The sequence below is a fragment of the Homo sapiens genome, chromosome 2 (assembly GCF_000001405.40).
Source record: "Homo sapiens chromosome 2, GRCh38.p14 Primary Assembly".
In the NCBI taxonomy this organism is placed as follows: Eukaryota; Metazoa; Chordata; class Mammalia; order Primates; family Hominidae; genus Homo; species Homo sapiens.
In genome coordinates this window covers 9,957,704-9,972,634 of record NC_000002.12, presented here as the reverse complement: position 1 = coordinate 9,972,634, position 14,931 = coordinate 9,957,704, and the positions used below count along the sequence as shown (strand labels likewise).

General features: G+C 40.8%; 1 protein-coding gene across 8 annotated transcripts in view, besides 1 other annotated feature; it reads right to left on the bottom strand.

The window, feature by feature from the left end:
* Positions 1-14,931, bottom strand: part of GRHL1 (grainyhead like transcription factor 1) — a 50,585-nt gene that overhangs the window by 29,643 nt on the left and 6,011 nt on the right. For 5 of the 8 annotated variants that reach the window (XR_001738726.3, XM_006711882.4, NM_198182.3 and 2 more), the window contains exons 3-8: positions 13,779-13,849; positions 11,199-11,589; positions 10,104-10,180; positions 8,593-8,749; positions 8,289-8,400; positions 7,254-7,348 (exon numbers count right to left, since the gene is read on the bottom strand). Coding sequence is in view for 7 of the 8 variants with exons in the window: in XM_006711882.4 (XP_006711945.1) it covers positions 7,254-7,348; positions 8,289-8,400; positions 8,593-8,749; positions 10,104-10,180; positions 11,199-11,589; positions 13,779-13,849 (903 nt within the window). In the remaining variant the exon portion in view is untranslated. The other 3 variants (XM_017003900.2, XM_047444018.1, XM_047444019.1) reach the window with 3 other exon arrangements.
* Positions 6,891-6,990: a silencer, noted in NCBI's record as "silent region_11149". NCBI's record gives its function as "represses an Ori minimal core promoter by ATAC-STARR-seq in GM12878 lymphoblastoid cells {active_cell/tissue: GM12878}" and the evidence as "EXISTENCE:reporter gene assay evidence [ECO:0000049][PMID:35858748]".

Sequence of the window (14,931 nt, the reverse complement as noted above, 5' to 3'; positions counted from 1 at the left end):
GATCTGGCGGGCAGGCTGCCTTCCAATCAGAAGTTCTCTTTCATTTACAAGGAAAAGCTAAAAGCAAAATCCCTAAGTTAATGTAGGGAGTGCCCTGTATTTACTAAAGGATTGAGGGTCTTGTGGGCAGAAGAGCTCCACATAAAAGAAATCTGAACTCCAAGCCCCCATGCCGCCTTGAAATTGCTATGCTGGGTAAGTTCAGTTACTACTAATAATGGCAGGTCACAGTCCAGCTCTCTGCTTTAGTTTCCGAGTAGCAAAACTGGTCGAAAAGACAGTTTGAGAAAGCTACCACCGACAGAATTTCCAGGAAGGACCTAGGAGAAGGAGGGTTAAGGTGACAAGCTGTCAAAAAAGAAAGTTCTATAGAGGAGTCAATTGTTTCTTGACAGTGACAGGGTGGAGGAAGGGGAAAAATTTGACCAAAAAAAAAAAAAAAGAAAAAGGAATTCAAGTGACAGCCCAGATGCAGGCTACATAGACATGGGTGCTTGAAACCTGTTTCACAAAACGCAAGTTTCACTACCAAACTAAAGCTTTCTTCAGCTGCCAAGTCCCTCCCTGGTCCAGAGACAGCTTCCACTTGGCCCTTACCCTCCGGCCTGCGCGATGACAAATGTACGCTTCTGTTACCTGTGGATTCCAAGTTCTGCCATGGTTCGATGTACTTATTTTACATCTGCATGGAACATGTTTTCAAGCCAAAGTCCAACAGACTTAGCTTTAAAAAAAAATTAGAAGTTTCTAGGAGAAATCATCCTCACAATCACCCCCAGAACAGCAGCTTCGTCAAAGCAAAATGTCCAATTGCTAAATAAAGACTTTATTCTGTATCAGCTAATTAAAGGCATTCTCTACAAATTTCCAATCAAGGAAGTTTTCTTGTTATTTCCAATACCGGTCAAGCTACAACTCTAAAGACTATTCATTCCCTATAAAGGAATGTGACTATCTCGATTCTGGTACAAAAACATTTCATTGTTTATTTTAATAGCTATGTATTGCTAAACTGCATAAGAAAAAATCCCTGGGATCAAACGAATCTCAATTCAGATGCCTCCACAGCTATACCTTGAGTTTTCCTTGGGGTCTTAAGGATAGAAATGCATGAATAATCCATCTCAGTCTAGTTAGCTTCGTAATCTGCCGAGACACTAAAAGCCTCTTCTCCTTCATTTTAAAAGTAACAGTGCTTCCTGACATCTTTTTCTATTTAGGCCAGGGAGTATGCCCTTTAGTTTTAAATCTCCTGCCTACATTTGCAATCGCAAGTAGGATGTTTGACTCACTTCTCTCCCCGCTCCTTCCTCCCATCACACTGGAAATTTAAAGTTGTGAAACAAACCAAACCTGTCCCTGCCTAATGGAACCACACGTGGCAACACCTTATTTTAATGGCAGACTTGACGGGTGCTTCACTAGAATGGAATTCTGATAAATGCAAGCAATATGTTCAGTCCAAACAAACTGAAAATTATTCTCATAATGAATTCCAAATATTATGCTTAGACAAAACAACAAACTTATTAAACTCATAAACCTGCATCCCACAAGCAGAAAGACTTACATTCAGGTTACCAGGATGGTTACACCCCTCTTTTACAGAATGGACTCTACAAGCCTCAATAATCCCTCACCAAGAACTCCATCAGCTTTTGCTGAGACAAGGAGACAAAACAGAGAGATACCGGTTTCCCATCCAAACACAGGCTCCCTCATGGAAAAGCTTCTTGGTACTTAGCTGGGCTCCAAATTCTACTTTAATCCTCTTTCCTTTGTAACATGAGCCTTTCCATGACATAAACCATTTGGCTCTAAAGGACAATCCTTCCAAAGGCCTCGGAGTTCCTTCTTATAGCTGATAGATTATAATGAAAAGCACAGCGTCCTCTGTTCTGACAGGGTTTTCTTCCCCCAGGGAACAAGGCGCTCTGATTTTGTCCTGTCTCTGACTGCCCCTTCCCCTTCTCCACAGGCTGAGACAGCACACTGAAGGGAAAAAATGGACGGGGACTGAACTGGGAAGAGACAAAAGTATGTTGAAATTGGCTCTGGCACACCCAGAGATAAGATCACGCCATCAAGAAAAAGACGAAGTTCCATCTCTCTGCGAGCAACCTGCTCACAAACTGGGACAAAGAGCTTCCTTCCGAAGGTTTGATAAAGACTTTCCAAAGCAACCAAGTTCCAAAAACAGTTCTTCAGGAGAAATGCCCAAATCTCCAGGGTGTTTTAGCGTGGAATGCACAACACAGTAAAACCAAGTCAGACTCTACATCTATCTACTTCTCTGACGCCACTTACTCCAGCAGGAGCTTGGCACGTGTCTGGCAGAAAGTTCTTGCTGTTAACTATTTTTAAAATTAAATGTGTGAATGAAAGCTACAACATAATTCACCTTACAGTGTAAGGATTTAGATGTTACCACTGGAAAAACCTCTTATTTTATATTCCCAGGATTCATTACATCCTTTAAAAGTGTGCTTACTGGCTGGGCACGGTGGCTCATGCCTGTAATCCCAGCACTTTGGGAGGCCGAGGCAGGTGGATCACGAGGTCAGGAGATCGAGACCATCCTGGCTAACACGGTGAAACCCCGTCTCTACTAAAAATACAAAAAAATTAGCCGGGCATGGTGGCGGACGCCTGTAGTCCCAGCTACTCGGGAGGCTGAGACAGGAGAATGGCGTGAACCTGGGAGGCGGAGCTTGCAGTGAGTCAAGATAGCGCCACTGCAGTCCAGCCTGGGCGAAAGAGTGAGACTCCATCTCAAAAAAAAAAAAAAAAAAGTGTGCTAACTATTCATGAAGGTCATACCTATGCACAGATGATCAGAGAAATCCTGCAATTTCCTTTGACCGCAGCTGTTTTCCCATCTGCCATACTGGGTAGCTGACTCTCTCAAAGGTGTCCCTACACCACCCCCAGACATCCCCTCCTTTAGTGCCTACTGGCTCACAGGCCTCCCTCAGAGCTGGCTGGTTTTCACTGGATTCCAATACAGCAGCTTTTTAGTTTATAATTTCTCCTCTGTGCTTAAATGTTACTCATCCAACTCAAACGTTATAATATAATCCAACATAAATTATTTCTTACTAGCAAAGGTGTTCTTATTTATATTAGTGAGTCCATAATGTTGCTCTATTAATAGTAATACCTACATTTTTAAGTAATCTTCCCTGTCAAGAATGTTTTCTATCCATTTCAAGGTCTAGAGTTTAGCTTCCTCAGAAGGCCTCATTTGGATGTCCAAGCACCAAGCACGTAATAGCATGGAGTACTGGGTGCTTTTTATGGGTGCTGGGCAGGCAGCCATGCCCCACTAACTATGGACATAGGTGAGGCACCTTAGCACAGCACCTAGCATATAACAGGCATTCAAAGAAGTTAATTCTCTCTCCCTAACTTCTTTTTCCTCTGTTTATTTTAGATCTTCAGGCTTCGAGAGGCCCTTGCTTCTTATCACTCAGCAAATCTCAATGCTGTTGTAGACTCTTAAGATTTACAACTCAGGCAAGAAATTACACTCTAGGCCAAGATGCGCAGTCCATTCAGTTCAGCCTATTCTAAACTCGCTTGTTTTGGAAATACTGAAATTGTTGCAGAACAAATAGCCCCAATTTATAAATTGCGTTCCCAAAGTTCATTTTTAAAGTGGGATAAAAACATTTTTCCTAAGAAAACATGATGTCATATTTAAGATCTCAGGCTGTCCCCACAAATGGGGACACTTATGCCACTATCTACCTGGCCTGCGGAACTAGTGGCAGGAGCCTAGATCCAGCCCACGCCTTGTCCACAGCAGGCTCTCGGATATGTGCTGGGCTCAGTTCTGAATTCCTGCAAAGCTGCATCGCTGGCTCCAGAGAAAATGTTGATCCAGCTGAGTCTATGTGTATCTTTCTCCCATCTCGCTGTATGCACCCCTCCCCTCAGCTCCTAGGCCTCTCTTCTGCAGGAGACCAGTGCCCTCATCTTGTCCTGCAAATCCTAAACTTCAGCATCTTACCAAAGCTCCATCTTTTAATGCTTCAAAGGCAATTGCTTCTTCTCTCTGCAAAAATTACCTCAAGCAGCTAATCTCAGCTGTGCATCAGGAAGAATACTGATTATTTCACAATGAAATGTGAACGCCTCATGGCCTTTAACCTGTCCAGAGACCTCTGACTCTTAACTACCCAAACAAATCTAATTTTGTGGAAGGACAATAAAAGGAATGAAATACGTCTACACAGCAGACAAATCCCACTAAGGGCCTGTTTCTGAGACATTTCTGCTTTTCAAAAAGCAACTTCCTTCTCTTCCACCACTTTGAAAACGAACAAATTTTCACAAGTTCCAAAACTTCCGAAAGTTTCCATGACAATGGCAGACATATGTTTATGGTGATGAATGGAGTGCACACAGGGCCAGTGTAAGATAGGTCCTAGCTTCGTCAGTGTTTTTCCCAAAGTGGAATGTAAGCCAAAGCATTCACAATTCAACCCAAAACATCCTCAAACTATCATCATTTCCAAACGGAGAAGCAGAAGCTACAGGTAAGATTCAGATGTTGACAGATTTTCAGTTTTACTCATCCTGGCATGGCCAAAAGGGTACATTAGAGATCACTAAAAGGGGAGGGGAGGAAATGCCACATAGCTCCAATAAACCCTTATGTTTGTGAGGGAGAAAGAACTGGAAATCATATTAACAAATACCACATAAATATGTACAATTATTATGTGCCAAGTATAAATCTTACAATTAAAAAAAGAAATCAACAAATGCATCCTAAATGAGAACAAGAAAGTGGGCAAAGAAAGTAGATATTTTCAGAAAACAGTAAAAAAAAAAACCAACTATACAGGATTCTGCATGTACACTTGTTCACTCTTGCTGCCCTGAGGCATTAATTACTTTAAGAATAAAAACAGAAAACATCAAGTTGGCCAGGGAAAGCAAAAAACCTCGATACTTAATTAGAACACATGCTTGAAGTTGCTGCCTGATATCAGCTTCAAAAAGACAGCAGCCTCATTAAGAAATGGCACAACACCCTTCTGGCGGCAGGCAAAGGCTTAAAATCACGTCAGTGCTGGGGGTCTGAAAGGGGAAATGAAACTGAGTTTACCTACATCAATTAGCAATGCTATTAAGGCTACTTAAGCCACTCCTCCAACAATATTTCTAATACAAATATGCTGCAGGCCTTCAGAATAAAACAAGCCATTATCCCTACCCGTCATCTTGGCTTTCATTACTCCCACCCCAAAGAGTGACACATCAAACAAACAAAGCGCCCTGCCCATGCGCTGGGCCTTTCGGCCAAGATCTCCAAGCCTATGACAAGCGCTTATTAATCCTGACCACACCCAACGAAGAAGAGCTGGCCACTCTAACCTCGTGACTCTCCTGGGGGATCAAGGGGAAAGGACTGAGCTAGTGAACTGAGGGACTAACCCAAGGTCATGGATAAGTTGGAAAAGGGAACTCAGGACTTATGGGCTCTTTATCGCCTCCTCCACAATTTCTCAGTGAGGCCCCAATGGCAAACAGCAAGTAACACTCCAGTTTGCTTTAAGAATAAAAGCATCCTGGGGCACAAGGCCAATACTTTTCATAGGCTGTTCGTAGTAGCCAGTGGACTGAGTCCTATTATGATATTTAATTTCAAAACAACTGTAACAACAATTATATAAAATGGAAAGTTTCTCTATTTATTGCTTAGCCAAGCAACAAACTCCGGACTATGCAGCCACCTGACAATTGTATGTGACTGAGGTGGTTGGCAGGAAAACCCTTCTAAAGCCACAATCACCTAAAGCTTCCTCACTGCCTGGTGGGCCCAACTGCCTAGAGTCTGCAGCCTGAAAGGCACATGTTTGTCTTGGACATGATGACAACGATAAGAAAGAAAAGCAATTATAATACAAGCAGAACATGGCTCTCAAGACCCAGTCACATGATTTTCAAAAGCATTCTGGGGCAGGATAAAATGAAACCCTAATAGTCAGCACCTAATACAGTGTCTTATTCTAAAAGTTACTAAAATTCTTATTGAATAAATAAAAGAAAAAGTAAAAAACAGAGACTGAGAAAGGACAAGAAGATGAACATCACTTCTTTCTACCAGGTCTCTGAGAGAATGCTATACCTAATATTGTAAGGAAAACTAAAGATCAGTCTTCTGTTAACAACTGTCTGAAAAATCACCTATGTTTCTATTGAGTTTTTTTTTTCTTTTTTTTGGGGGGGACAGGGTCTCACTCTGTTGCCTAGGCTGGAGTGCAGTGGCGTGATCTCAGCTCACTGTAACCCCCGTCTCCCGGGTTCAAGCGATTCTCCTGCCTCAACCTCCAGAGTAGCTGGGATTAGAAGCGTGTGCCACCACGCCTGGCTACTTTTTGTATTTTTAGTAGAGACAGGGTTTCACCATGTTGGCCAGGCTGGTCTCAAACTCCTGGCCTCAAGTGACCCACCCGCCGCAGCCTCCCAAAGTGCTGGGATTACAAGTGTGAGCCACCACTTCTGGCCTCTATTCAGTTTCTTGAGCTCCCAGTTTTTAAAGTAATCCAAAGAAAGAAAGAAATACAGGAACTCTAATAATTGAGTGGAGAAGGATCACACTCACAGGGAAGAAGGCAGGGGCAAGGCAGAAAGGACTTAGGAATATGCTGAATTTTTCTTCAAGGGCACAAAAATTCCCATTAGAGTCGCCCACAAGGAGTAACTCTAGCCAATTAGAGTTACTCCAACTGAACTGGAGGCAACTCTTCAATGGGAAAAGCCCAAGACAGAAGAATCTTAACACAGAGTCATATTTACAAGGTGATGATATGAAACAGAGTACTACTAATAATCACTTATATTTAAGAGCCTTTCTCAAAGCCACTCCAACAGTTTGATGGGCATTGTTTCATTACTCCTTACACCTCCTTCAATAGAGGGAGGAGACAGATATCACCTCCACTGTGCAAATGAGGAAATGAGGCAAAGCAAATGAGGAGTCAGACTCAAGGCTGAACAGGCAGGAGTGGCAGAGTGCAACTTAATCTCAATGTTTCACACACTGGACTCTGTGCAAAGGATGGCAACAAAAATGATCTGTTTTGGAGGAGGGGAGAATAAAAAGGGAAGAGGATAGTTTCATAACACCTGAGAATGAAACACATAAAACTGTGAAAAAAAAAAAAATCAGTTGTCAAATCATTAAACTCCTCCCATTTCTCAAATGGCTGGACATAAGGCGCCCAGACCTCACCACCCACCTTTGCTTCATCGTTGATGTCCCATGTGAAGGAAATGGCGTTATACGCAATCTCCTCGATGTTACTGATAGTGTTGAAGCTTTCTTTATAGTCAGCTACAGGAAGCGGTGGAAGAGAAAATGAAAACTCATGAGTCTTAGTTTCAACATGGGATCCCAGCAGTTCAAAATAAGATCTAGTTTTTAGCATTATCACCTCTGGACAATTTAAATTAACATTTTGTTCGATTAGAAGAAGTTCAAAATACGAAGAAAAAGAATCACAGAGTTTTTGTAATAGAGGCAAGCTTAGACATATTTAATTCAATCTCATTATGTCACAATTAGGAAATTTAAGTCTAAAAAGTTTAAATAACAGTCCCAAGGTCACAAAACTACTCTGTAGAACCAAGATTAGAACTGAGTTCTCATTCTCCTGAAAAGGAAACAAGAGCATTACAAAAGGTAAAGAAAAAAAGTAACACTAATATTAAACAGCCATCTGTGATACAGACAATGGTTTTACATGAAAATTACATACATGGCAAGAACAGAGGTCTGTGTAACGCTACTTCAGTAAATACAGATTTGCACAGGTTTGCCACTACAGCCCACAGAGAGGTTAGTTACACGGTTTAGCACGTGACTAGGGAAGACTGTTAGGCAACTGCACAGCAGCAATATCTTTCTTTTACTTGTTTTTTTCTCTACCTCCATCATCTCCAAATAATAATCAGAATCTTTTAAAGAAGATATTACCCCTTAAAGCAATTGCAGACTGAACAGTGGGGACATTCTCAGGTTAGCCAGCTACATGGCTTCTGGCCCTAGTGTCCTGTGGAAAGCCACCACGTGGGCACATGTCCCATTACTGCATGGGAGCAATGGTGAGAGCACTGGTTCCAGGAGGCCGAGGACAGTGTTTGGAACAGATCAGTAGCTGGCATAAAAATTCAAATGCTTTCGGCAGGAAGCTGATCACTGCCAAAAATAATTGGATTTAGAAAACTGGATGGCTGCACCTCTGGGAATAAAAGCGGGCTCTTGAGCTGCTTACCTATGTCAATGCATCTTTGTTTAGCGGTGTGCTGCCGGGAGTGCCAGTACTTCCAATGCCTTAACTGATCTTCTCTGCTTTTGTCTTCAGCAAAAACCACCATGATCACACTCTGTGAAAGAGAATGCATTACAACATAAAGACACTAAAGGGTGAGTATGTTTTGGAAAACGTATTTAGTACTATATTTTACAGTGAAGGCTTAAAGCTGCAATTTCAGGCGGTCATTCAGAGCTGCTTCAGACCTGGAAATGTTAGGCTCTGACTAGCTTTCCTAGAGAACAGGACTAAGAGCAGAACTTACTCGAACTTTGCTGATGGGATGATGGATTCCTTCACTGCTGCTCACCTCCTTCAAGGTGATGGGATAGAACTGGCCTTTGTTCAGGTACGTCATGGTACTGTCTCCTGGCTTCTGTCGAAGTGATTTTGAAGCTTCTAGGGTATATTCAAAGTTGTTCCTAAAGGACAAAAAAAGTCACAGGTCTCTAAATCTACTCTCGTGGAAGCTTGCTATACATCATATTATAAATAGCATTTGCTATCTTTTTCACTTAAAGAAAATCTGAAACAAAAGTACTCAGCAGCTAAAAATTCTCAAGTCTCTCAGAGGTGGAAGTACAAATTGCCGATTAAAAATTCTATGATGTGATGGATGTCAGTAATCGGACATCCTGAGTTTGAGGGCTCGAGATATTAAAGATACTGATAGGTGGAAAGGACTTTGGAAGGAACTTCTCACAAGACATGCTGCCAATCTGATATTTATCCAGCAGAGGTTTCAGACAGGTGGCTGGTGTTCCTCTGACTAAATTCCTTTTGGCCTATATAGCATTTTTTTGTTGTTCCTACTTGTAATTTAAATGTCTTTAATAGGCAGGCACTCCACAATTCTCGACATTACCTATTACCTAACACTACCACTCATATATGCCCCTAAAGTTGTTTAAGAACCTTCCCAGGCCACGGCTCAGCAGATTACACCTATTTTTGTAACTAAAGTTTTATTAGCACATAGCCACATCATTTGTTTACACATTACCTATGGCTGCTTTTGCACAATGGCAGACCGGGGTAGTTGCAAAAATATACAGAGGTTGTATGGCCCACAAAGCCTGAAATATTTACTCTCTGAGTCTTTACAGAAAAAGTTAGCTGACCCCTATCCTAAACCCTAAAGGTATTTCCATTTGGGACTCCTGCATCTTGAGGCAGATCTATAAGGGAAGTCTCAATTCCCATAAAATCTTAGACACTTTTAAAACTGTAAAATATAACACATGTAAAAAACACATAAAACAAAATATGAGTTCCTAATTAACTTGGAAAATATTCATACTCCCAGAGTGAGATACAATTTTGTGAGGTCAAAAGAAAGTTGTCAGCTCAGAAAAAAGTTGACTTCATTTATTTTATCATTAGTGAGGCTGATTTTAAAAAAAAAAAGCTTTTATCACTTGATATTACTCCTAAATTCTCACCTAATTATATATATTTGGCAACAGAAAGGACCTCAGAGACCTAATTTAATCCCCTCATCTCTCCTATTAGATTCCATTCTACTACCATCACATAAAGAATCCAAAAGAAAGAAAAAGCACCAACACCAAGAATTAAGGAAACTTGAAACATAGTTCAAAGAGTTCAAAATTAAAAGCACTGAAGCAGATGTCCTCTACCCAAGACTGTACCACAGTAAAAGTAGTAAGATAAGGGGAAAGCCTGCTAAAGCCACCTTTGATTTATCAAGTTAACAAGAAAGGAATAAGTTATAAAAGCTGCAAATTAAAAATCAAATTAAAAGACATCTATTACCCAGAAACACTGTCAAAAACATAGTCCTCTGAATTCATGCCAGGCATCCGCAGACTGAGATCCGAGGGGAAGAAAACCTGAAATATCAATGTGATAAGCCACAACTATTTAACTGGTTATCATGCTTACTAAAGACCAAGCTCTGGTACCGCATAAAAGTATGTGGCTTACAGCAACCCACTATCCTTTCCATATTTATTTTTGAGTAAAAATTTTGATTCTACAAATACTTAAAAAATTAAAACAGAGAAAATATCCACTTTTATATGCCACTCAAGTAAATTACAACAAGCTGTGTAGGTACTCCCACTAAGTGCTTCTGACTCACGACCCCCTTTTCTGTCTTTCACACACATCCCAACTCTGTTCAAACACTAGGACCTGCAACCAAAATTTCATGACTTTTAAAAGTCACCCTATCATTATACCAAGTTAAGACACAGCATCAAGTTCACACCACAGCTGAAGAGATGTGGTGCATTTTCTCAGGAAAGGCTAACATTCTGCCCCTAACTCCATACGCAGAGATGGATGCTCTTTACCCCACCAAGTCACTAAGTATGGTTTCTAACACCTTTAGTCCCTAACTTTTAGCTGAGTGAGGTATTCATCACCATAAAACCCCCAGAACTATTTGGAATTAATTTGTAAACCTCACACAATGCATTTGTGCTCTCCCTGACTACATTACCAACCAAGAAACACCAAGCAAAGATATAATAACTCATTTTATATGAGCTCCAGGGAGCTTGTTTGGCACTGGGAGAAGTGCTGAAAACAGACTAGGAGAATCTACCTGTGGTCAACAGAAGATTATGTATGGGGTTCTCTTTCTCCAGCAAATCCCTTAGCTGAAATCATAATTGTTAACTCAGCTGCTGGTAAGATTAGCCTTGCATCCTTGATAATAACTTCTGGTTGTATAGGTTTAGTTTACAAATTATACCCATGGGCCTTTTCTCTTAAAAAAAAAATCTTTTATTCCTAATCCATTCATTTCAGGCTGAGTTTCATGCTTACATAACAAGGAAAAGGTGGAACCCAATACTTATACAAACACGCAGGCGTCTTAGGAAGATGTTTTTGTTTCCTTACCTCCTGAACGCCTTCCTTGAAGGTCTCTGAGAAGGTCGAGTCTGGAGTTCGCCTTTGAGCATTTGGGGCTTGAGCACCAGAGCTGAACTGGTCAGTATTGAGATTCCGATCGAAAACCACCACCCGCTCAGTGGGCTCAGGATGATACACTGCTGGGGGGATTCCCACAGCGAAGCCATGTGGCTGGGTTTCTGTCTTGATGGAGTGGGTAGGCATCGTTGCTATGGAGACAGTGACTGTCGTATCTGGAGCTGTCAGATGGCCTCTCTTATCAATGCCCAGCTGGTTGCCATGGGGAAGGACAATGTTAAATGGCACATTTTTCAGTACTTGCACTCTGTTTTCTCCAGCAGAGATGAGGGGCTGCTCTGTCACAATTGGTATGCTGTTTCTTTAAGAAAAGAAAACTGCTTTCAAACGCGATGCTGATGTAGTTCTTTGACAATTTTTATTTTCCTAATGGCATTGGGCTGTTGGGTCCTGTGCAATAACACTTGACAGAATAAACAGAAAACATCAAAACTACCCATTACTAGATAAAGGGAAAAAGGCTTTCTGGTTATCGGTCAAATAAAATCCAAACCTATTAAGTAAAATTTCATTCGAAATACTAAGGGCTCAGAGCTCTCCTCTAACAAGCTTTACTTTCCATAATCCTAAAAACAATTACTGTGTTTTACTAGAAACCTGAAGCTATGCGATCTGATCAACTGGGGTTACAGCATAGACGCCAGGGTCAAATTGCCTGGGTTCAAGTTCTGTGTCACCTGAGCAAGTTACTTCATCTCTTAGTAACTGAATCCTCATCTGCAAAATGGGGACAATAATGGCATCCATTCTCATCAGGTTGAGATGAGATGATACACTAAAAGGTGTATAATAATGCCTGACACACAGTCTTCAAGAAGTATGAGCTATTATTACTTGGTCACCACTTTTCCTACCACCTATGCCATTTGGCTTTCTCCTTTTTTTTTTTTTAATTTTTTATTTTTTTGAGACAGAGTCTTGCCCTTATGGCCCAGGCTGGTGTGCAATGGCGTGATCTAGGCTCACTGCAACCTCCGCCTCCCGGGTTCAAGCGATTCTCCCACCTCAGCCTCCCGAGTAGCTGGGATTACAGGCGCACGCCACCACACTTGGCTAATTTTTGTATTTTTAGTAGAGACTGGGTTTTACCATGTTGGCCAGGCTGGTCTCGAACTCCTGACCTCAGGTGATCCACCTGCCTCAGCCTCCCAAAGCGCTGCGATTACAGGCATGAGCCACTGTGCCGGGCCTGGCTTTCTCTTTCACCCAAGAAAACCTATTGTTACATTGCATCAGTAGACACATCTGCTTTTTATAAAATTAAATTTTGGTTTGATAAATAATTTGAGCAATACAAGATGATTTCCAGTGGGTAAAATGAATGAATTTTCAAAGCCCCCAGAAATCATATAGGCTGAAGCTTCAAGAAACAGGCAAATTGAGAATTCTGTACATTTCAAGATCAATAAAACTGTTTGAACCCTGAACCATAAATTCACTCCCAGGAATTTATCCTAAAACGGAAAAAGTCTAGAAAGTTGTTCCTTAAGACTTCTTAATAGTGAAAACTAGATATAGCAGCAATTGTAAGGATATTTACAGTTTGCTTCAGAATGTTCCAGCAAAAATAAATAAAATAAAAACATGAATTAATCTCAAAGTTGAAGAAGAGGGAAGAACAAATCAAACAAGAGGAATTGTGTTGATAACTGTTGAGGCTGGTCATGGATACATGTGGGCTTATACTGTTTTTCTATTTTTATTATGTTTGAAAATGCCCATAATGAAAAGTAAAAGATAAAAGCCACAAGTCCTCTTCCAAAGGATAATTATGAAGATTAAAATACAGAGAAAATGTTTATGAAACAAACTAAGTAGAAGAAAGTACACTACCAAATCCTATCTGTGAACACAACTACGCTACATAAAATTTGCATACACATCAAAACAATGAATAAAGCAATCATCACGATAATGGGATACTGGGTGATGATCATTCTTCCTTTAAATATGTTTCATTCCTTGATTGATAATAAAACACAAGACAATTTAAAAGGTGTCTTTTTAAAGTTTTTCATGGCTAGCCAAACGTTAATTAAATTTTCTGAAAGTTTTAATCTAAAATATTTCACAAATAATTTCAACAGGAATTTGAATACAATTTAACTTGCTTTATTCAATTTTACTCAGGCAGTTGTTCAAGAGTCACTGGTGCTTAATTTTTTTAATAGACCACTGCCACACATCCTTCTAAAGAAAACCTCAAAAACAAATAAGCAAATACTGAAGTTATTACTAAAACTATCCCTTTGGAGGAGGAGAATGTTAGTGCTTTCATCCTAGAAAAGGCAACTACTACGCCCAAAGAAAAAAGGAAATTTCAGAGCAACAGAGGCAAATCAGTGATGAAATCTGAATTTAGATAGTAAGAGTCCAACTTACCTATCTCTTTCACTAGTGGTTGTTCATTTAAACAAACTCCCATTTTGCTGTTACAGAAACGTGGCATTTCCCCCTGCACTCTTTATGCTGTTAGGCACTGAATGTTACCTTTTGCTGTGATCTGGCTCAGGGTGCTCCACCTCTGGCTTTGCTGTTGATGACCTTCTCTCTCTTGGAACCTGATATTAGCACACATGAAAAGAATTTAGCTCTTATCCAGTGAAGTGCAGTTTACCCAAAGATACAGCCTTTTATTTTTCAGTAAATTCAATCATTCATTTATCTACTGGTTGCCTAGCAAACACCAGGCTATGGGGACACACAAATTATAATATCTGCCCTCAACGAGCTTAAAATCTAGTCACCCATCTGGTTGATATGTAAAAAGCAACTGTTATTGAGTTGCCAAATAAACTCAGGGCATGATAAATTTATTTTGTCATGGAGTTTGGGTCTCATCTCTTAAAAAAAAAATACCTCCGCTGGCCACAGCTGGTGGCTCATGTCTGTAATCCCAGCCACTTTGGGAGGCCAAGGTGGGAGGATTGTTTGAGCCCAGGAGTTCAAGACCAGCCTGGGCAACACAGTGAAACTCATTTCTACAAAAAAAATTTTAAAATTAGCCAGGCGTGGTAGCATGTGCCTGTAGTCTCAGCTACACAAGAGAGACTGCGGTGAGAAGATCGCTTCAGCCCGGAGGCAGAGGTTACAGTGAGCAGAGATTGCGCCACTGCACTCTGGCCTGGGCGATAGAGCAAGACCCTTCCTGACTCAAAAAAAAAAAAAAAAAGAAAAAAAGAAATACCTCTGCCCTGGTTTTACTCGTTTATCTACACAACATTAGAGAAGAAGCTACTGAAAACACAACGGAGCTCTTCCAACTTTCTCAGTGCTCTTTCCTACCACCCTCCATTCAGATCAAATGCAAAAGCAGAAGGAACAGCCATGTTAACCCTTCATTTCTTCTAAGATCCAAATGAGGGCTTCATATGATCACTGTCTTTAGATACGCTGGGATTCATACGTCCATCACCCAAAGGACAAGTCTAACTCAGTGTTCTATTCCTTTTTTGGTTCTTTTCTTTGCAAGGGAAGTGAAAAGTAGGCAAATGTTAGTGAGTGTCCTGTAGAAATAACTCAACTGAGATTTAACCCCATTGCGCACTCCAAAATGGCTAAGGTGCTTAAAAATGGCTTTCAGCGTGAAAATTCTATTCCTGCATCCTTGTTTTCACCATTAAAGACAAAACACTGCTGGCCA